Source organism: Homo sapiens, chromosome 2, assembly GCF_000001405.40.
Source record: "Homo sapiens chromosome 2, GRCh38.p14 Primary Assembly".
In the NCBI taxonomy this organism is placed as follows: domain Eukaryota; kingdom Metazoa; phylum Chordata; class Mammalia; order Primates; family Hominidae; genus Homo; species Homo sapiens.
In genome coordinates, this window is record NC_000002.12 from 78,519,124 (window position 1) to 78,542,361 (window position 23,238).

At 36.7% G+C, this 23,238-nt stretch overlaps 1 long non-coding RNA gene across 1 annotated transcript in view, besides 2 other annotated features; it reads right to left on the reverse strand.

Moving 5' to 3' along the window:
* The window catches only part of LOC124906027 (uncharacterized), a 126,610-nt gene extending 103,843 nt beyond the window's left edge, over window positions 1-22,767 (reverse strand). Inside the window, exon 1 of the long non-coding RNA XR_007087117.1 lies at window positions 22,449-22,767. This is a non-coding gene — a long non-coding RNA (uncharacterized LOC124906027). The remainder of the gene's footprint in view (window positions 1-22,448) is intronic.
* Window positions 4,715-4,945: a silencer, noted in NCBI's record as "fragment chr2:78750964-78751194 (GRCh37/hg19 assembly coordinates)". NCBI's record gives its function as "represses an EF-1alpha promoter that drives an FKBP-Casp9 reporter gene in an ReSE screen in K562 erythroleukemia cells {active_cell/tissue: K562}" and the evidence as "EXISTENCE:reporter gene assay evidence [ECO:0000049][PMID:32094911]".
* Window positions 13,643-14,322: an enhancer, noted in NCBI's record as "OCT4-NANOG hESC enhancer chr2:78759892-78760571 (GRCh37/hg19 assembly coordinates)". NCBI's record gives its function as "activates a minimal SCP1, AML or CMV promoter by ChIP-STARR-seq in naive H9 embryonic stem cells {active_cell/tissue: H9 hESC(naive)}" and the evidence as "EXISTENCE:reporter gene assay evidence [ECO:0000049][PMID:30033119]".
* Window positions 22,768-23,238: the final 471 nt, after the last annotated feature.

Below are 23,238 nucleotides of genomic sequence, written 5' to 3' on the forward strand. Positions count from 1 at the left end.
GATCCATTTTCCACCCCCAGCCTTGAAACTCATTAGCCTTAGGGTGATAGATTTGATCAAAGAACACTGAAGGTAACTGAGCCTCAGAATTTAGTATGATTCTATTGATCATACAACAAACATGACATGAAAGTCAGATGTTGCCGGACTTGCTTTCTTTAAAAACAATGGATAGGAAATTTGGCCCATTCCTCTCCGTTTGTAGTCCTGCTGCAAGGTCACCACGGTAACCAATAAAAGACCAGTAAGAAAGATCTTCAATATTATCACCTAGAAATTTTACTCATCCTTTCAAATTCCAAGGAAGCCATGTATAGTTTCAAAAATCCTAAAAACTACATGATACCTAATACATAGGGACAATATTTTTTTGGTGTTATAATCCATAATCTTGTGCCTGTAATCTCAGCTACTCTGGAGGCTGAGGCAGGAGAATCACTTGAACCCGGAAGATGGAGGTTGCAGTGAGCCAAGATTGCACCACTGCAATCTAGCCTCGATGACAAAGTGAGACTCCAGCTCAAAAAAAAAAAAGTGTCTTTGTTATACTAATAGATGAGTTTTGGTAGACTCTTACATAATTTCAAGATGGAAGATGGTCATTTGAAAGATGGAACATATGACTTAAGGGTTAGACTTTCATCTGCCAGGCATCCTAGGAAAACAAGGGGTTGGAAATTATATTCGATTATGTGGCCAGTTATTTAATCAATCATGTCTACATAATGAAACAACAACAACAACAACAAGGTGACTATAGCTAACCACAGGCAAAATATTCTCCCAGAAGTAAATGGCAATATCCTCAAGTTAGTAGTTAGGATTCAAAAGAATTACATAAAACCCATTTTACAATATTTGTTCTTTCAAAAAATATTCTACTTAAAGAAATAATGTCAAATAACTAGTAGATAAAAGGGAATACAGTTTTAATTTTCACTATGGAATTTCTTCTCAATCTAGTAAATATCAAGCCACTTTTCAATTTATGGTAGGCAAATCTAGTGTCAGACCTCTGAATTCCTATGTTTTTAATATTCTTAAAGCCACTGATTCATAAAAAGTCTCAACTAAGTACACCTCACACTTTAATTAATGGGGCAGGTGAGAGAATATAAATCTCTGAGCCATCTTAAAGTAAGGCCCAAATTCACACAAGGGGAAGGAAAAACAATTAATAGCTTTTTATATTTTGCCTTAAAATCTTCAGATCCATTTTTTGAATCCACAATAATGCGGTTTGTTTCACTATTTTTAAAAAGGTGTTGTAAATGATGTACTATAGATTAATTTGAATTGTCTAATCTCTTTGAGGAAAATCTTGTTCTTATTTTTCATACTTTATGTCTTTAGTAAACACTGGCTTCTGAAAGGCAGCAGATTGGGATTGTCTAAAATGCAAAAGAAAGGACTAAATAATGACCTGTGGAGCTTGAGTTTGGAGTACTCACGTACCTCCCAGTTTCTGCCATGTCTAAGAAGAATAGTTTCAAATGCAAAGGCAAAAAATAGTATCATCCAGAATCATTTGGGAATGGAAATCATATTGCTAACAGAAACCGCAGACAAAGCAGATGGCAGGACCGTGAGGTATTTTAAGCTAAAAGAAAAATATTTTAGCTTTAAAGGTGACTGAAAGCCTATTAGGAACACAATAAGAATTAAACAATTAGAAACGTTTATAAGAGAAAGGTTTAGCTCTTACAGATGAAGTTACAAATGTGTGAAAGACAAGAATCATGCAAAATAAGACAGAGGGATTTAATTACTTCTAAATATTCAGGTTAGGAGAGAGCTGAAAACTAGGAAGAATATGCAGAGAAATATACCAGGAGAATGATATCCAGGGAGGGTAAGGAGATGGGGTAGGCAGGAGGAGTATGCAAAGGGAATATGCGGGGGAATTCATTGGAATTCTGGGTAAGTTATAGAGAGGAGGAAAAGGGAAGGTCTGTCTGAGAAGACTGAGTAAGGCCGTGCTGAGAAACCTCATATCCAGAACAATATTCAAAAGCATTCTTTGAACAGAAAAATTGACGTTTAAGAAATGACTGGGAATCTCTCCTTTGATGACAGGGGAATAACCACAACAATCATAACAGCCAACATGCAGTGAGTGATCACTCTATGGTAAGCATTGTGCTATGGACTTGGCCTGCTTTATGTCATTTAATCTTCACAGAAAATCTATACGTTCTGCAATCTTTACTTATTTCCTAGAATAAAGAGGTCATTGATCAGCTTTGAGTCTTTTTTTTTTTTTTTTTTTTTTTTTTTTTGAGACGGAGTCTCGCTCTGTCGCCCAGGCTGGAGTGCAGTGGCGCGATCTCGGCTCACTGCAAGCTCCGCCTCCCGGGTTCACGCCATTCTCCTGCCTCAGCCAGCTTTGAGTCTTAAAGCTGACTTTCATGACCTCTTTAGTAGAGAGCTGTTCAGAGAAAAAGCTTTTCTGAATTTCATTATTCTGACCTTTATCATAAAAAGAGGTAGCCCTGGCTAACATAAATACAGAATATTATTGGAGGCGGTGGGGGGGATCCCAACCAGACTCAAAGGATTTGGCAAAAGTCAAAGACTTTTGGTCCCATGGATTATGGGAAGAGACAGGAGACATAGGCAGCTCTAAGTCAAACGTGCAGGAATTAATGCCTCCAGAGGATGAACTCATAGATACAGGAGTAGAAAGAATTAGCTATATGGGGAACCTGAGGGATTGAGGGGTATTGGCCCACTTTCAGGCCTTTAGGAGATGCTCCACAGACTGCCACTTCTCCCAAAATTGCAGGGTAATAGTGCAGTAAAATAGGCAAAAAGCAGCTACACAGGTGAGCTGGAAGTCATTCTGATCTCTGTGTGCTGGAAGTTGGGAGAAAGGGACCCAGAAGTGTCCATGTGTCCAGTAAGGAAACACAGATGTGTTAAGAAAGTTTTTGCACCAGCAGAGGCCTGGGGTTAAAAATAAAGGCATGTGAGCTGTGGGGACTTTGAATCATGCGAAAAATGGCCAGGATCAAAGACTTCAGCCACAGCTGACTGGAGCATCATAACCTCAAAAAGCCAGACGCTTTTATGTCTCACTTCAAAAGCTACCAATCCAGGAGGAAACTAGACCAGGCACCCTGGAGAAAGTCTAGCAAGCCTACGGAGGACAACATGTTCATACAAACACCTAAGGCTTTCTCTGCTAATCTGAGGTCATAGGCCCTCTCTAAACACCTAGTCCAAGCCTTGGAGGGGAGAGTTGGAGAGGAAGAGAAGGAGAGTGGAACATGAAAAGACAGCATTTTGTCCAAAAGTGACTGTTTACAGCGAGAGACAGATTATACTCCCTGATGGATCTAAACTTCCCATACTGTAAATAAAACTTAGAACTCCAAGCCACCACCATCCTATTCGAATACCCAGGGGTAAGAGTGCTTATGTACCAAGTGTGAATAAATTTTTGGTATTGTGACACTAGATTTGGGGTTTTGGTTCTGTTGTTGGATTTTGCATCAATAAATATGTTTTCTCCATCAAAGGGAAATACAATTTTTAAATCATCTATTATTTGAGGAGTTTAATGATCCTCCTGCAGAACTATATTGGCTGTCTCTTTTTATTTATGATTGTTTGATAATTAACTTAATACCTCTGGTTATTTCCATAATTAGATTCTAGCCAATTTTGGTATTGTACTGTTATCATTAAAACGATCATCTAAATTAGATCTCAACTGTATTTTTTTCTTGTCATTAGTTTTCATTGGTTGGTTTAGTATGTTATTCATTTTTTAAATTCTTGAGTTGAAAATTTTGTGTATTTTTTCAACATAAATATTGTGTTATTACAATAGGCTTTCTAAATTTAATTATTTTAGTGGGCATTTGTTAATTGCCCATCTGGCATTAATCCCTTCCCCACTCCCTTTCCTTTCTTGACAGTGTCCAGAATTTCGCAACCATGTAGTGTTAAACTGAAGAGGATATATGCATACCATGTCGCCCAAGGACCTAGGGGCCTTCTGGTGAGAGCTGGGGGAGGTGCCAACTATTCCCTGGGAGGACAAGTTAAAGAGATTTGTCAGAAAGACTAGGATAGTACAGATCAAGATTTTTCATAAAATGTATTTTTAAAGACACCATAATCAGATATTATGTATTTGCCTTTGTAAGAAAATTGCTAAAATTTCACCAAAGCTTGGCATTTTCTACATAAGCATCCCAAATAAGTTTTGCGTATATATTTTTATTTATATGCCACACTTACTGAACTGAAGCAAGGATTCAGAGCATTGGAGATGTGGCCAGATTTCTCTCTCTGCAGTTTCTGCTTTATTTTAGAGGTGCTGACTTAAACTAGGTGCTGCAAAACTGTTGGGTAGCTATCCTAGTTTTACTAATTATAATCTTGCCCATTGGTGAAATAAATAATCTTGAGGAATTATAATTTGGAAATATCTATGCATTCCTAGAAAAAAACTTAATTTTTTACTATTATTTTCCTAGATAGCTAGAATATTTTTCCTAATACTTTATTTATTGTTTGTTTTAACAAATGGCTTTGTGGCCAGAAATTTCACTACTATATAAAACTTCACTATTCAGCTGGGCGCAGTGGCTCACACCTGTAATCCCAGCACTTTGGGATGCCGAGGTGGGCGGATCACCTGAGGTCAGGAGTTTCAGACCAGCCTGGCCAACATGGTGAAACCCCATCTCTACTAAAAACACCCAAAAAAATTAGCTTGGCATGGTGGCGAGCGCCTGTAATCCCAGCTCTTCAGGAGACTGAGGAAGAAGAATCGCTTGAACTCAGGAGGGGGAGTTTGCAGTGAGCCGAGATTGCGCCACTGCACTCCAGCCTGGGCAACAAGACCAAGATTGATCTCAAATAATAATAATAATAACTTCACTTTTCTATGTTTGCTGGGATAGTCCAAATTTATCTAGAACTTAACTCCTTTCTGCAGCTGGTGCCCTTTCCCTCACTGAAACTGGGTTATACAGTATTTGCTTTATTTTCTTATTTTTATTTATTTATTTATTTTGAGACTGAGTCTTGCTTTGTTGCCAGGCTGGAGTGCAGTGGCATGATCTCAGCTCACTGCAACCTCCGCCTCCTGGGTTCAAGTGATTCCCCTGCCTCAGCATCCTGAGTAGCTGAGACTACAGGCGTGCGCCACCATGCCCGGCTAATTTTTTGTATTTTTAGTAGAGATGGGATTTCACCATGTTGGCCAGGATGGTCTCAATCTCCTGACCTCGTGATCTGCCTGCCTCGGCCTCCCAAAGTGCTGGGATTACAGGCATGAGCCACCACGCCCGGCCAAGTATTTGCTTTATTTAAAAACCTGTTTCAACAAAATGCATGCTGGATATCCACAAACAGGTTTTCATTGTATTTCTTCAAATTATTCCCAGCATGAGATTTGTACCAGTCTGAAACATCATGTCTATGGTCCTAGATTCTCTTATAATAAGAATATTTTGGAAATCCAGTCTGCATACATCTTCTCCATTGTTTTAGAAATCACACTCAATCCAATGCTCACCTCTATCCTTCAATTATTTCTGTACTATGATACCCTGAAGGAATGTCTTGAAGTTCTCTCTCTTGTGGATGTTAACTTTTGCCATCCTGAAATGATGATACATATGTTTCCTAATGATTTGTATTTCTTTGACATTTAAATAAAAATTTGACCAGAATAGGAAATTAAATAAACGGGTACAAATCATGACGTTGATTGTATATGCAGCTTTTTTCCTAGGGGTGCCACCATTTAAATGATGTGAGATAATTCAGTACTGCCCTAGGTTATTTTATGTCCCTATATGTTTACACAACCTCAGAAGTGGAGTTAAGATAAACATTTCTCATGCAAAACTACCATCTGGTTTTATTGTTCTTTGATTTTCAGTAAAGCCTCTGAGATTTACCTATATGAAACAGACATTCTGATGACTTCTCTCTTCCATATGAAAAGAGGATAATAAACAAAACCAAAATGCTCCCATTTTATTTTTCCTATGATGTCCTAAACAATAAAGCAATAGCAATATAGATAAATGCTTGTAAATGCCCTTCTTTTTAAGAGTTGCAAATAAATTCTGAACATATATTTGACCCTGGAAAGTCAGCAGGAATTATCCTGTAATGTTGACATTGCATAACAAAGCAATTTTTCTTTTTGAAACTGCTACATACAAATATCTCCATGGTTAATAGAATCTTGATCATTATTTCAGGAAACACAATTAACATAGTCCCTTTCTTATTATATACAGCATATTTTTTCTATTTTCATCTTCAATTAAAATCAATAGGTTGGGATATTATTTGTATTGAAATAATTTTATCTGTACATGTAATATAAAATTCATCTTAGCATAGCTTTTATATAATCTCTTGTATTTGTTTTCTATTGCTGCTTAGCAACTTTTCACACACCTAATGGCTTAAAATAATACCTATTCATTAACTCACAGATTTTATGAGTCAAGAATCTAAGCACAGATTAGCTAGGTCCTCTGTTCAGTTTCTCAGCAGGTTGAAATCTAGGTGTTGACTAGGGCTCTAATCCCATCTAAAGTTCAGACTTTACTGTCAGTTCAGTGGTTTGGGGCCCAATTTAGTTCCTTCAATCTGTAGGACTAGGTCATTTACCTCCTAGAGGCTGCCTATCATTTTCTGCCACATGGCCCTCTCCAAAGCATAGCAGTTTGCTTCTTTTCCAGGACATCAGGAAAATGTATTTGACTTTTAATCTCTCTGACTTCTAAGAAGTCATTTTAAAGAAGTTATCTGGTTACATCACACCCATCTAGGATAGTCTCTATGTTGCTTAAATCAAAGTCAATTCATTAGGGACCTTAACTACATATGCAAAACCTCTTCGGCAGTATAACACAATTCAATGGCATTGTTAACCATAACACTTCTGACACTGAAGATGTGGGTTTTTTTCCTCACACTTTACCAACCAATTTGCCAACTCTCCAGAGGCCAAATGCTGGATATAGAATGAAATTCAATTTTGACACTAACTACCTAGAGTTAGTACAGACTCCACAGATTCAGAGCTCAGTCCCACGAGACTGCACCCACTTCAGACATCAATCACTAGTGCTGATCTTTATGTACTCTTGACTGATCAGCTATAAAGTTGTGCAGTTCCCACAACCCCACCCTCAAGCTTGATGATTGTCTAGAATGTATCACAGAATTTAGGGGAATGCTTTATTTACTCTTACCAATTTATTCTTAATGGATACAAATAAGTAGCCAGTTGAAGAGGTACCTGGGACGAGGTCCAGAAGGGTCCTGAGCACAGGAGTTCCTATCCCTGTGGAGTTTGGCTGCACCACCCTTCTGGCATGTGGATGTATTCACCAACCAAGGTCTTTGAACCTCCTTGTTTAGGTTTTTTTAATGAAGGTTTCATTACATATGCATAATTAGTTAAATCACTGACCATTGGTGACTAACTCAATCTCCACCCTTCTGCCCTCCCTGGAGTTCTAATAACATGGTTGGTTCCTCTGGTAACCAGTCCTTAGCCTAAAGCTAGGCAGGGATCCACCAAGAGTCACCTCATTGGCATAAACTCAGGCATGGTTGAAAGGTAATATTATAAATAACAAAAGATGTTTCCCTCACCTCCACAACTCAGAAAATTATAAGAGCTTTATGAATTCTGCACCAGGAGACAGGGATAAAAACCAAATATATATTTCTTATTATATCACAATATAACAATAATAATGGAAATAAAATCCCACCATATTCTTAAATCCCACTCACACACAAACCAACAGGATTACATGAGGCAACAGACCAGGGGGAAAAATTTTCTAGGTCATCTTAGAATTCTGCCTACCACAATAGTCTAGTCAATCAATGGAGACATAAGCTACTATCAATTACATAAAAAATCACAGAACTGAAAATTAGGGAAATATGACTAAGATCATAATTACTACTTATTTTTATCCTTACTCTATTCCAGGAATTTTACTTTGTGATCAGAGACTAATTAAATCTTTGCAACAACCTTATTTTTTAAGTATTATTGACATCATCATTTCCAAAATTTAGAGGTGTAACGGTTGGCTAGAGGTCACATAGCGTTTGAGGGGCAAAGACTGCTGAAGTGCATACTCTCTAACACTGGTGTCTGTGCTCCTGCTGTATAAGCTATCTAAAGCCTCATAGAACCCTATTTGTTGATAAAGAGGTAAGAAGATAATTATTGGGGTCATACCTGTTTAGAAGCCCTCAGTCTTAGGTAACAGTGCTATGATGAGAGGATAAGATGCTAAAGAAGGTGAGAGTCTGCTCAAGGGCAGACTTAATGGTTGTCCTTCCTATGGGAATATTGGGTGTGTGCATCAGAATTGTGGCAAGTAGGGTGACAGCTGGTAATGGACTCTCCATCTTTTGGGGCTGGATTGCTTCTAATAGATTGAGTATCTGAGCCAGAGATCATGCTGTAGCATTGAAGACCTGATTCCCAGAAATACCTACCACCACATGTGTCTTGTGTAGAATTATTAGCTAGAAGAACAGGCCTGAATTCAAGCTTTTGAAGATGTTGGGAGTGGTGATAATTTCAACAGTATGGCTAACAACAAAACTAGTCCAGGCAAATGTGTCACTCTGTACATACAAATAACCAAGACAGATTTGCCTCTGCAAATATGTAGTTATGACTAACAAACTTAATAATTTGAAAAACGTGAGTATGCCAGACAAATGGATCATTCCAAAACCACAGGTATCTTTGGACACAAATTATTATGGACATAGAGTCTACTTCAGACATGTTCACTTCTCACACACTGAGAAGCTCAACACACTGATAACAGGATGCACAGGGATGGCTCCAGACACACCAAACTCTTTGGGCATCTTGATTTTTTTGCCAAAATCATGCGAATACACTCATGTGAACACATATTAGGAATCACTTGGTCAGTTTAAGATTGAAATAAGGGAACCACACTGACATTATTATGAGGGCTCATCAGACCAATATCTGAATTCTTGTTCACCTGGTTATTTGAAATACTTAAGTATGCTTCCTCAAGATGAGTTGTTTTTGTGCGGCTACTGCAGGCAATGATGTGCAAATAATTAGTAGTCACTGATAACTATTTAATAATTAATAATTATTATTATTAATCAATGCATGTAATGCAGGTAAAATACTTAAGGTTATTTAAGAATTATATGCATTTTTATTCTTTGCTTAATGTTTTCTTTCAAAGTTATCTTGAAATTTCCATAAAACATTAACTTCAGTCCCCTATTTTCAACTTAATAAGGTGCACAAAGGTTTGACAGGGCAAGCTTGTCTAAAAATCTCCTTATCCTTCTCAAGCCTGTATTTAGTTGTAGATATCTACAAATTCCTTTCTCAAGAATTAAATTATTAGGCTTCTTTATTTTTTTTTCTGGGAATATTGAGTTTGCTACTTGTCATTTACAATGGAACAAATAATTGAACTACATTAACAGTTTATTAAGTTCTGATAGAATGAATGTGTTGTGTAAGGTATATTTGCTTTTATTTTGCAATAAAAAGGTTTCTGAGTGTTTCAGCCTCTGTGGATACGTAGGGTCCTTATTCCAGGGTCAGTTTGCTTCTCCTAAATTATAATTGTTGATTCTTTAAAAAGATTTCTTAGAATATAAAGTCTTTATGATTTTATAGTTCCTGTTTTCTCCTACGATTGCCCTGCTACAATTACTGAATACTGTCTACCTTGCTAAATGAGAGGGTTTACTAAATAACATTTTGGTTCTAAGCCTAGTCTTAACATTCCCTGGATCAGTTATAGGAATGCCCCTTTACTCAGTTCAAAAGATGGACTTTCTGTCCCTGGTCTTGCTTTGAAGGCAAGCCTCCTTTCTACTGCTGAAGTAGGTCCTACATATTTGTAGATGGCCTTCCCACAGCATTTCATCCCCTAATTCCACTGATTAATTTGAGGTGAGCATATGACCCAATTAGAACCAATTAGACATTCACTGCATGTATGAAGAGAAGAATGCTCCTTTACCAGTGGATTCTCACTGTGGACAATGGGAACCTAGGACTGCTGGAGACTACCATGTGACACCTGAAAATGAGGGCAACAGAACAGAAGGCAAGTCAGCACTGGAAACCTGTTTCTGAAGGCAGCTGTTTCCGAATCAGTATCCAAACTTGGACTTTTCTACTGCAGAGGACATTTAGTTTTCCTCTTTTCTTATTGAGTAGGTTTTTCCCACTTATAACAGGAACTTTCCTAAATAACACATTATTGCTGCAAAGAAAATGCTGCAGCTGTCATGAGAGTGTATGAGCAAGGATCTTAACCTGCCCTAAAGGATCAAAGAAGGAGAGTTACCTAAAAGTAATGATATCAAAACTGAGATGTGAAAGGTGTGTAAGAATAAGCCACGCAAAAGAGAAAAAATGGGAGCAGAGGAAAAGTTTCCAAATGGAATGAAGAACTTGTGTAAAGGATTTCTTCAACATTTAAGAAACAAATTGAAGAATGGGATATATAGAAAGAGCGAAAAAAATGTGATAATACTGGGGAGAAAGAAACTTTCTAGGCCATAAGGTTGACTTGTTATTGGCCAATGTAAACTTTTTTTAATCAAAAAATTAATACATGCACATGGTCAGAATTCAGACAGTGCTGAGGACGCTATTGATGCCTTCTCCCAAAGCCCCAGGGAGAGTTTCAGTGCCTCTTTCTTTTCTTCAAGAAAAAATAACTAATGTTCTCACACACATACACATAAAATACTTATTTAAATGCTTATGGTGTTTTTTGCTAAATACTACAAACAAATCAAACATTTTTCATCAGGTAAATAGAAAAGCAAAGTCTCATACATCCGTATAATGAATGGTATATTACTCAGCCAATGGGAAGAATGGGGGAGGATTATGTATTTGTGTATGAAAGGAAGAGAGCTAGAATTGATTTTTTTTTAACTTTCTGTATAAGTCTGAGATTTATAAAAGACACTCTAGTGAGAAGTCATGTAGTAAATTTTATCTTTCTTTTTAAGCTCAGAGAAGAGGTTAGAATTTGATAGTAGTTTAGTTAATATACAGAAGAATAAATGCAGTTAAATATGGAGAGGTTAGCAGTATCCCAAATGTACAGGAGTATCTTACCACTTCACTATCTGCATACATCTTTTTGCATGAAAAACTAGAAAAATATGTAAAAAATTTAGTATTTACAGGCTATACATTTAAAAAAGAGTTTGTATCTTATAAAAATATATTTCTCCAATCAAGATTATCTACTTTATTAACTAAAACTATGTGAATGAGAAAACTGGCACTGCTTTTTTTACTAGTAAAATATTTCTATATGAACATATGAGAAAATAAGTGAAATACATACACACATTTCAAATCTTTCACTGTTAATATCACTTGAAGGTTTTTCATTTCCAGAGAAAGTTCATGCCTATTATTTTATTTCCCCGTAAAACAACCTCCAAGGAAAGATATTATTATCAATCTCATTCTACAGATGAGGAAAATGAAGTTCAGAGAAGTGAAGTCTGTTGCTAATTGTGTCTGTGGCTAAGCAGGGACTAAAATGAATTCATCCCATTCAATGCAAAACATGCTGAGCATCCACCATAAGCCAGATAAATTGGAAATTACTGACGGCCACAGATAAAATTAAAAAGCATCCAATTATCCCTTCTCCAGGTATTGTAGCCTCTTATCACTTAAGACTGGGCAAGGCATGATCACACTTGCCCCCCTGAAGTGACAGCAGTGATGAGTGTTTGGGTACTTCAGCAGCTCGCACAATACTTCCTGCACATGGACTGTTTCGAGTACATCTGGAGGCTACACTCTAGCATTTAGAAATCACAGTCTGAATTAGAGCCAAAAATCCCTCTAGCTCCACTGTCATTTATACCAGGCTTCAGGACATAATATTGGGGACAGGTAATTCTAAAGAGGCTAATCCTCCAGGAAATTTACCTTCCAAGCCTTATCCCCAAAGCTTCCCATTCAGGAGTTGAAGTGTAGCCAATCACCCAGAAGCACTGATGCAGGTATTCCATAGAAACTATACTTTGAGAAACACTGCCCTGGAAGCCTTTTGCTTTTTCTCACTCTTTTGCTTTGGAGAAACTGGACAGTTGCATTTAAAAATAAATTGGGTGCTAGAATATAAAATTAGGTTAAGGATCTTAAGGTAGCTTGTCATCGGTCTAATAAACAAATAGATTTATATTTTTAAATGAAATGTGAGCATACTAATATTTATCATTTTCTCAGTCACTCCTGCCTGAAATTGGATGATCTGTTGTTTCTGCATTAGCTATTGTAATAATGTTAGTATAATCATCTAGTAGCAGTTATCATTGCTAAATTCTGAGATTTGCCCTGAAATGCCATCCATTTAAATATATACAAACATACATAGAAATATCAACCTGGTCAGCTGAAATAACAATCTTCAAACAAGACCACCTTTCTCTAAACAAAATCTCAGCAGTTTCTGAGTTTGCCTTTCTGTTTTTAATGGACATATTTTATTAAAATTTTGTTTGCTTTTAAAAAATACTAACAAATAGTACCACAAACTGGAGGTTTCATTGCATTAGTCGGCCTGTGCATTTCATAACAGTGTTAGTTTTCTCAGATTGTTGCTTATGTATTTCAGAGTCATAATGTCAATTCAATCAGTAAATTGCAGTGAATTTCCACTTATTTGGGATAGTATGAAAGGGCAATGATTTACCAGGAAGCTTTCAGTGTAAACTGTATGAGCAAGGACAGAAATCTAAATACTATTAATCCTTTGTGTGTGTGTGTCAGCAGCATGCATTTTGATTACACATTTAAAAGCTAATGCTTCAATGTGAATTTGGAAGTTAAAAATCCATACCTGAAAAAGAAAACAACACAATAAAGCATTCTAAGAAAACAGGTAAAACTGAAATAGTCTCATTCAGTTTCATTATGTTTCTTGTCCTTTCAAGGTTTAAATGGCTTTTGATTGAGTGCCACATATTTACAGAACATGCCAAATATTTATAATAGTTCATCATTCTGTCTTTGACAGGGATACTTAAGCATTTCTCTCTATATCCCCATTCACTTTTATTTGTTTAGTTTCACTTTGTAAAGCCATTCAGTTGGCATAAGCCACTAAAAATGTCAGAAGATAGCAGAAATAAAAACAATAACCTGTATTTTTTTCCTCAAGCAGACTTTCCATTATTATTGCACACTTCAGTAGTTTAAACCCTTTAATTCTCACTTAAGTTGAATCAGTAATCATTAGTATCTAAGTAAAACCATAATTTAAATCAAATTTAAGCTAATCACCTTTTTTTTTCCTCTCTCTGTATGGTTAAAGGCTTAAAATAGAAAAGACTGAAAAAAAAAGACACAAAGGATAAACTGCAAGCTGGTGGGCAGTGGGGACGTTATTGAGCTCCTTCCTCCACCATTACAATGATCTGTTCTCAGTTTTCATTAATCACTGTGCTGTTAGCAACATGGTGGTTAAAAGGGGCCAAGATGTCTCTCTTGTTTACCAGTATAAAAGGTAGAAAGATTTTCCACAATTTGCAGCATTCTAGAATTTATCTTCTGAAGGAATTAGCTCCAATAATTGTACCATTAGCTCACATCAGAAAATGAGCTCCACCAACAACTAATGAAACCTTTCAACAAAGAAACAGGAAAAGCTGACATTTATGAAAGGTAGTGTATCTTTACTAACTAGGCGCTGTTGAATTAACGATTTGAGAGTTGATCCTCAGACGCTGAATTGGAAGTGCTCTTAGTCTTTATTTTGTTAATGGTAGTTTATCCAGGATGTGCTCCCTGGGAAGCAGCCAGCAGGAGGCTTATTAGAAAATGTTCTTGGGATCAATACCCGTGGAAGGACAGAGTAAGAAAGAAAGGAATCAAAAAGTTAGGTCCTGAGAGAAATTGAGCCACAATGAAAGCTCTTTAGCCCATCCATGAGGAGATGTATAGCAGAAAAATCCCTTCAATGTTGCCCTGAGTTGAGTTCATGGGGACAGACTTTTATACCCACTTCTGGCTGACCACCTGCGAAGCAGGTGTGATCTTGGTCAATGAGGCAGCTCTTTTCAACTGAATTCCTGTAGGTTTCTAACTAATTAAGCTTTTCTTCTGGCAAAGCTTCCAGTAGTTGGGGAAATAAGTCCTTTTCTGAAGGGGAGTTTGAGTGGAGCATTCACTATAAACCAAAGTTCAAGTAGTGTATATATCTATCTATCTGTCTCCATCTGACACACAAAAATCAAGTATTGTAAATTAGTCTACAAAAAAAAGATACAAATACAAATTATCTTGCACTTTATTTTAAGCTCAGTAATGCAATGGTTCTGTGATTCGAAAATCTGTCTTTTAGGGCCAATTTTTATCTACAAAAATAAAAGGCTAAACTAAACCCAAGGCAGCCAACATTTTATATAAAGAGCCGGAAAGTAAACATTTTTGGTTTTGTGAGCCATATAATCCTTGTCTCAACGATTACACTCTGCCTCTGTGGCATGAAAGCAAACATAGGTAATATGTAAATGAGTAAGTGTATCTGTGTTCCAATAAACCTTTATAGGCAAAAAAGATTTTAATCCACAGGCTGTAACTTGCTTATCCCTGAACTAGATAATCTCTATTATCTTTTCAATTACTAACATTATACGTTTTTGTAATTTCTTCTCAGAATTAGATAATAGATTCCTTCTTTAACTTAAGTACAATCATATGCCACAAAATGTGGTTTTGGTCATCAATGGATTGCATATACAATGGTTGTCCCTTAACATTGTAGTAGAGCTTAGTGACATTACAGCTATGGTAATGTCATCGTGCAACACATGACTCATGTTTGTGGTGCTGCTGGTGTAAACAAACCTAATGCACTGCCACTTGCATAAAAGTATCATTAATGATGTATAAAAGTATAATCAATTAATAACGGGATATGTTCTGAGAAATACATCATGGTAGGTGACTGGCATTGTGCAAACATTATAGAGTGTAATTACACAAACCTCGATGGTAAAGTATACTACACACCTAAGCTATACGATATAGCCTGTTACTCCTAGGCTACAAACCTGTACAGCATTTTACTGTAATGAATGCTATAGGTAAATGTAACATAATTATAAATATTTGTGTATCTAAACATAGAAATTATATGTAAAAATATGGTATAAAAATACAGTCCACCTGTATAGGGCACTTATCAGGAATGGAGCTTCAATGACTAGAAGTTGCTCTAAGTGAGTCAGTGAGTGAGTGCTGAGTAAATGTGAAGGCCTAGGACATTACTTTATGATACTGTACACTTTACCAACACTGTACACCTAGGATACACTAAATTAATTTAAAAAATAAAGTGTGTTGTGACATTATAACATCAATAGACAATAGAAATGATTAAGATCCATTATAATCTTATGGGACCACTGTCATTGTACACATGGTTCATTGTAGACCAAAATGCCATTATCTGGTGTTTGACTTTATAGCAGATATAATTATGTACAGTACATAATATTTGATAATGATAAACAATTATGTTACTGGTTTATGTGTTTACTATATTATACTTTATATTACTATTTTAGAGTATACTTTTTCTACCTATTAAAAAAATTAACTGTAAAACAGCCTTAGGCAGAACCTTCAAAAGGTATTCCAGAAGAAGGAATCGTTATCACAGGAGATAACCGATTCATGCATTATTGCCCCTGAGGACCTTCCAGTGGGACAGGATGTGCAGGTGGAAGACAGTGATATTGATGATCCTGACCCTGTGTAGGCCTAGGCTAATGTGTGGGCTTGTGCCTTAGTTTGTAACAAAAAAAGTGTGCAAAGTAAAAAAAAAAAAAAAAAATCCCAAACAAAATATATAGAATAACGATATAAAAAAAGAAAACATTTTTTAGAGCTGTACATTACACTTATGTTTCAAGCTAGCTGTTATTACAGAAGAATAAACAAGTTTTAAAAAGAAAAAGTATATAAAGTAAAAAGTTACAGTAAGCTAAGGTTAACATATTACTGAAGAAAAACTTTGAAATAAACAATGTAGCCTAATTATACAGTGTTTATAAAGTCTACAGTAGTGTACAGTAATGTCCTAAGCCTTGACATTCACTCACCACTTATTCACTGACTTGCCCAGAACAACTTCCAGTCCTGTAAGCTCCATTCCTGGTAAGTGGCCTATACAGGTTTATTTTTATGTACAAAATATTTTTCTTTTGTACCATATTTTTACTGTACCTTTTCTATGTTTAGACATATTTAGATACAGAAATACTTACCATTATCTACAATTGCCTACAGTATTCAGTACAGCAGCATGTTATACTGGTTTGTAACCTAGAAGCAACAGGCTACACCATAAACCTAGGTGTATAGTAGGCTCTACTATCTAGGTTTGTGTAAGTACACTCTATAATGTTTGCACAATGACAAAATCACCCAGTGAGGCATTTCTCAGATGTATTTCCATTGTTCAGTCATTGATTACTGTACTATAATTCCTTCTAGAAAGAGTAGAGAAAAAAGTAAATATTCAAAATTGAAAATGCCATAGTATTTTTCTTACTTTAGTAACTAAAAATATTTATGAATTAATTTTAGTCACAGATAATACTTGTAAAATGCATCTACCCAATAGGAAAATTACTTTTTAAAAACTAATATATTGGCTTTTTCTAAATTGCAGGCAAATTTTCTAAAAGAGTTCACTGAAAATGAAGGCAAAAATGTTTATTTAGAAAACCTTGCTTTTTCCTATCACTACAACCACAAAATATTTCTAGAAATAATTCGAGGTTTTTATATTTGGGGTTTCTTTTGTTCAACTGAATTCAGGATTGTGATGGGAAGGAGGCAGAGACAGAGAGTAGGACACAAAGGAGGTCAATGAATCAATTTTCTTCAGTTTCTGGTTGAAAACCAGATATGAAAGCACCCTAAGAAAGATCCTAAATCAATGTAGTCTCTCATGACCTTAAAGCCTCAAAATTTAAGCTCCTTCAAGCAACTATTTGAATGTGAAAAGGTTGATATCTGGAAAATATGAACATGTTTTTCTCTTTTTTCTTAGTGTAGGACCTTCTGCCTATTTGACTCAAGGCATTAACCTGAAGGATTAAAAAATGATCATTACAAATGAATACAATGAAAAATAAAGAATAAATGTTTAGTTTCAGACATTTAACATAGAATTTTGCAGCAAGACTAGAGTCTCGTAAGATGGGCTACTGCCTTGAGAAAGGATTTTCTAAATTCCTTTATGTATCTCTTTACCAAATCAAGAAACAAGGTCAAAAGACATGAGACAGAGAGTTTTTTCACACCGATGAAAATATATATTTTTTTGACTTTAAGATAGCTGGCTGTGCTTGTTGTTCTATAAACAGGATAAATACCAAAGAACATTGACTAAATCCAACACCTACCCATGAAAAAAACTCTCAAAAAAATAAAAATACAGGGTAATTTCTACAATATGATAAAAAGCATCTCTAAAAATTCTGATGGTTAACACACTTAATGGAAAGACTGCATGTTTTCCTTCAAAAATCATAAACAAAACAAAGATGTCTTCTGTCGTCACTCTTGGAAGTTCTAGGCTTCTCAATTGGGAAGAAAGAAAAGAGAAGAGAAAGGAAGGAAGGAAGGAAGGAAAGAAGGAAGGAAGGGAGAGAGGGTGGGAGGGAGGGAAAGAGGGAGGGAGGGAGGGATGGGAAGAGGGAAAGAGGGACAGGGCCAATTGGAAAGGAAGAAACAAAATTGTCCCTATTAACAGATTATGTGACTGCTTACATAGAAAATTCCAAGAATCTATAAAGAACAGTTCCAAAAGTAATAAGTAAATTCATAGAAGTCACAGAATATAATATTAACACACAAAATTCAATTAAATTTCTCTACACCAACAATAAATGTGCAAAAGCCAAAATTGAAAACACTGTATCATTTTCAAGTATTCCAAAAAATGACTCATATATAAGCAACAAAATATGTACAGAATCTTTATTTAAAAATTTAAAAGCACTGATTAAAGAAATTTAAGAAGACAATTTAATGTGGAATCATATTATGTTCATGAATTAGAAGGTTCAACATAGCAAAAATGTCAATTCTCTCCAAATCGATCTACAGAGTCAAAGCAAATCCTATAAAAATCCCAGCAAGGTTTTATAAATAGACACAGACAAGTTTATTCTGAAATATATATGGAAAGGCAAAACGGCTGTATAATAACTACAATAATTTTAATGAAGACCAAAGTAAAGTAGAGGACTCATACAATTCAATGTTAAGGCTTACTATATAACTATGTAATCAATATAATGCTTTATTGGTGGAGAAAAAGGAACATAAATCAATAGAACAGAATAAAAAGCCCAGAAATAGAACCACATAAATATGGTCAAACAAATTTTGAAAAAGAAAAGCAACAATTAAATATAGAAAGGACTGTTTTTTTCAACAAATGGTGCTGGAGCAATTGAAAAATTATGGGAAGTAAAAGAAAGAGCCTCAACCTAAAAACCTCACACTTCGTGTAAAAATTAACTCAAGGCCGGGCCTGGTGGCTCACCACTGTAATCTCTGCACTTTGGGAGGCCGAGCCAGGTGGATCACGAGGTCAGGAATTTGAGACCACCCTGGCTAACCCAGTGAAACCCTGTCTCTACTAAAAATACAAAAAATTAGCCGGGCGCAGTGGCAAGCGCCTGTGGTCCCAGCTACTCCGGAGGCTGAGGCAGGAGAATGGCGTGAACCCAGGAGGCGGAGCTTGCAGTGAGCGGAGATCGCGCCATTGCACTCCAGCCTGGGCGACAGAGCAAGACTCCCATCTCAAAAAAAAAAAAAATAAAAAATAACTCAAAATAGATCATGGGCTTAAAAGTGAAATGTAAAGTTATAAACTTTTTAGGAAAAAAAAGAGAAAATCTTTGTAGCTTAGATTTAGAAAAGATGTATTAGACTTAACACCAAAAGCATGATTCAAAAAAGGAAAATGTAATAATCACAATTAAGATTAACACTTTTAATTCTTCAAAAGATTCTGTGAAGATGAAAAATAAGCTATAGACAGAGAAAACATTTGCAAATTACACTAGCAAGAAAGCACTTGATTTAGAATATATGAAGTTCAAAACTCAGCAATAAAAACATAATCTAATTTAAAATTATGCAGAAGCAGCAGACATTTCACTAAGAAGTATAAACAGATGACAACATGAAAAGATGTTCAACATCATTAGCCTCAGGGAATGCAAATCAATAGCCAAATGAGATATCACTATGTACATATCAGCATGACTAAATTAAAAATTAACAAATAAACAAAATATGATAACACCAAATGCTGATGAAGATGTAGGGGAACTGCATTACTCACATTTGCTAATGGAAATACAAAATCACATAGGCACTCTAGAAAAGAGTATGTCAGTTTCTTACAAACTAAGCATGCGCTTACCACACAACCCAGAACTGTACTCCTTCACATTTGTATCAGAGACAGAAAAACTGATGTTTACACAAAAAACTGTATATAACTAATGCCCATAGTCACTTTATTCATAATAGCTCCAAAATGGAAGCAACTCAAATGTCCACCAGGTAAATGGTTAAACAAAATGTGGTACAATCACACCACAGAATACACACTAATTAGCAATAAGAAGAAACAGACCAACTTGTGTATAAAGATAATTCTACTGAGTAAAAATCTCCAATCATAAGGTTAGATATACCTGTTCGATTTATAGAACATTTTTGAAGTTACAAAATTAGAGAGAAAAGGAAGAGATATGATATTTCCAGGGATTATGAACTGGAGAAGGAAATGATGGAAGGAAGATGGATGTTTCTGTAAAAGTATAGCAGGAAAGATCCCTGAAATGAAACTATCTGTTCTGTATCTTGACTGTGGTTGTCACGTGAATCTTCACATCCGATAAAATTGAATAGAAATAAATATATGCACATACAGATATGTGCACACAAGCACATGAATTACACAAATCAGTGCTTGTAAAACTGTGGATTCTAAATAATGTTGGTGCCTTTTATCCATATTAATTTGCTGATTTCGCTATGCTTATGTAAAATATTACCACAGAAAAAACCCGGTGAAGGGTATGCAGAATCTTATTATTTATTACAACTCTACATGAACCTATGATTCTCTCAAAACATTTTTCTTGAGGCGGGCAAATCACCTGAGGTCAGGAGCTCGAGACTAGCCTGGCCAACATGGCGAAACCCTGTCTTTACTAAAAATACAAAAATTAGCCTGGCGTGGTGGTGCACACCTGTAGTCTCACCTATTTGGGAGACTAAGGTGGGAGAATCGCTTGAACCCAGGAAGCAGAGGTTTCAGTGAGCTGAGATGGTGCCACTGCACTCCAGCCTGGGCAACAGAGCAAGATTCTGTCTCAATTAAAAAAAAAAATTCTAAAATAAGGCAAAATAAGATGAATGAGACTAATTCACTTTTAAAAACATTAACTGGTAAATTATTTTTAAAATTTTAACTTGCAAGGGAATTCTACCTTCCATCCCAGGTTGGAAGAAGCATTACTCCCATCTTCACAGCCATGAAGACCTAGACAAAGAGCTGGATTAAATTCAAATTATGACTTTTTTTTAATCTAACAAAAAGAAGCTGAGGTACCATAACAACCAGCAACCCAAAACCTAAGGAGGTGTCTGCATGGGGAGAGAGAAGAGAGGATGTGCACATCTGGAGTAAATGCAACCAGTTACGGGTATGAACAGTTAGAATATAGAATAATTGAAAAAAATGAGTGAAAATGGAGTGCAGGCTGATGCAGAAATATGAAATACCTAGGATGCAGGCAAACAAACAAACAAGCAAACAAACTGGGGCAATATGTAACCTCTTTTAGGTTGTTTTCCTCCATGAACTCCATTGGATGCTTACAGAAAATACTATTCAAAAAAAAAAAAAAAAGCTCTAAGTAGCAGGACAGACCTGGAAGACAAAAAGAACACACCTATGCAAAAGCAGCAAAAAATTTTGCCTGGATTTTCTTCACTATCCCCACCATGAAACAAAAGCCTCAATCTATAGGGGAAAACCTATAAGGACATTGGTGAAATCTCATTGAATAAGGGATAAAGGAACAAGAAAAAGAAATTTGTAGTCCTGTGGGAGAAACAGGATTACGCACTGACCCCGTATCTGCAGCCATAGAAGGGGCAGAGTTAAAGAAGTCCCTAAACACAAGAAAACAGTGCATGCCTAAGACAGAGGTTCAACCAGAACAACAGAGATCACAGCTTATTTCTTCCTACCACTAGGCTATCTAGCTTTTTGAAAAACAAGTAACAGTAGACTTCTACTGGGGGAAGTATAGGAGAAGCACAAGTACATTTGAGTATATTTATGTAATCTCTATTTTAATCCATTGATCTATCATTCTATCTCACACTGTCTGTTTTACTGCAGGTTTTTAGTAAGGCTTAAAATCCAGTATTGTGATTTCTCCAACTGTATTCTTCTTTCCAAAATTGTTCATCTTTTGGAGTTCCTTTACTTTTGCATATAAACTTTTGATTTACCATGTCAATATCAATGAAACCACCTACTGGGACCTTGATTAGACTAACTTTAAGTTCATAAACTGATTTGAGGAGAATAGACTTCTTTATTACGCTGAGACTTCGAAACTGGGAACCTGTTATGTCTCTGCATTTATTTAGGTCTTTGATTACTTTCATCAATATTGCATAGTTTTCAGCTGACAGATCTTGTACATTTTCTGTGAGATTTGTATTTCATATTTTCACAACTATTCTTGTTATATTTCAGAGCTATTCTAAATAATACTGACATTTTAGTTTCTAATTGCTTATTATGTCAAAATTATTATATGTGGAAATGCAATTGATTCCTGTATGCCAAACTTGTAACTTGTGATCTTATTATTCTCTTATTAGTTTTAGGACATTTTTTAGAAAAAAAAAAACACTGAAAGTTTATAATAGATAATCATGTCATGAGTGAAGAGAAATCATTGTGTTTTTTTTTTCAAATATATGTGCCATTCACTTTGGGTCCATCATGGCGGACGGCATGCAGAACTAGATTGAAGCTCTGACTCTGACAGACAGAGCAGTGTGCGGGGGTTCGCATAGTGTATTTTAGCTCCAGAACGATTACAGGAATAAATCAGGAATCCTAAGAGGACCTACAGACCCTCTAAGGAAGCAGACTGTTTCTGCAGGACCCGGAAGACACCACAAATACTGTGAGTGCCCAAACTGCGGAAGTGGGAAAGGGAGAGCTTTTGCCCTCCCCAACCATCCCAAACCAACACACACACCTCCTGGGTAAATAGAAGGTCTAGTTTGCAGGAGAAGATTCTGGCCTTACCTGGAGCTGAATCCATTTAGAGAGCCCAGCGAAATACAGGGGTAGAGGAAGCAGCGGGAAAGGCCCTGGGAGCTAGCTGGTCTCCAACCAGGCCATTCCTGCCTGGCATCACAGGAATTCTTCGGGAGGGCAGCCAGTGGTATGGGGAAAACGCCGCAGGTAAAAGCAAATCTCTAGCTGAACTTTGTAACAATTTGAACCAGCTGAAAAGCCTCCCTTTTGTTTAGCAGCTGGGAGGCGGGTAACCTGGGGCAAGTTCTCAGCTCTGCGCACTGCCTGCCTAGTGCTGTTAATGGCGGCAGGGTGGCTGGGTGAGGCCGGTGACTGCTGGCTTTCTCACACTTCCTGACAATCTGCATGACTCAGCAGAGGCAGCCATAATCCTCCTAGGTACACAACTCCATTGACCTAGGAACCTCCCCTCCAACCCCGAGAGCAGCTGCAGCAGGTCCTGCCCAAGGAGAGTGTGAGGTCGGCCACGCCTAGCCCCGCCTAGCCCCGCCCCCACCTGATGGTCCTTCCCTACCCACCCTGGTAACTGAACACAAAGGCCATATACTCTTGGGAATTCTAGGGCCCCACTCACTGCCGGTTCCTCTCCAGACTACCATAGCTGATGCTCTCTGGAAAGCGCCACCTCCAGGTAAGGAGGCCAACCAGCACAAAAATAGAGCATTAAACCACCAAAGCTAAGAACCCTCACAGAGTCCATCCCATTCCCCTGCCACCTCCACTGGAACAGGTACTGGTGTCCATGGCCGAGAGACCCACAGACAGTTCACATTACAGA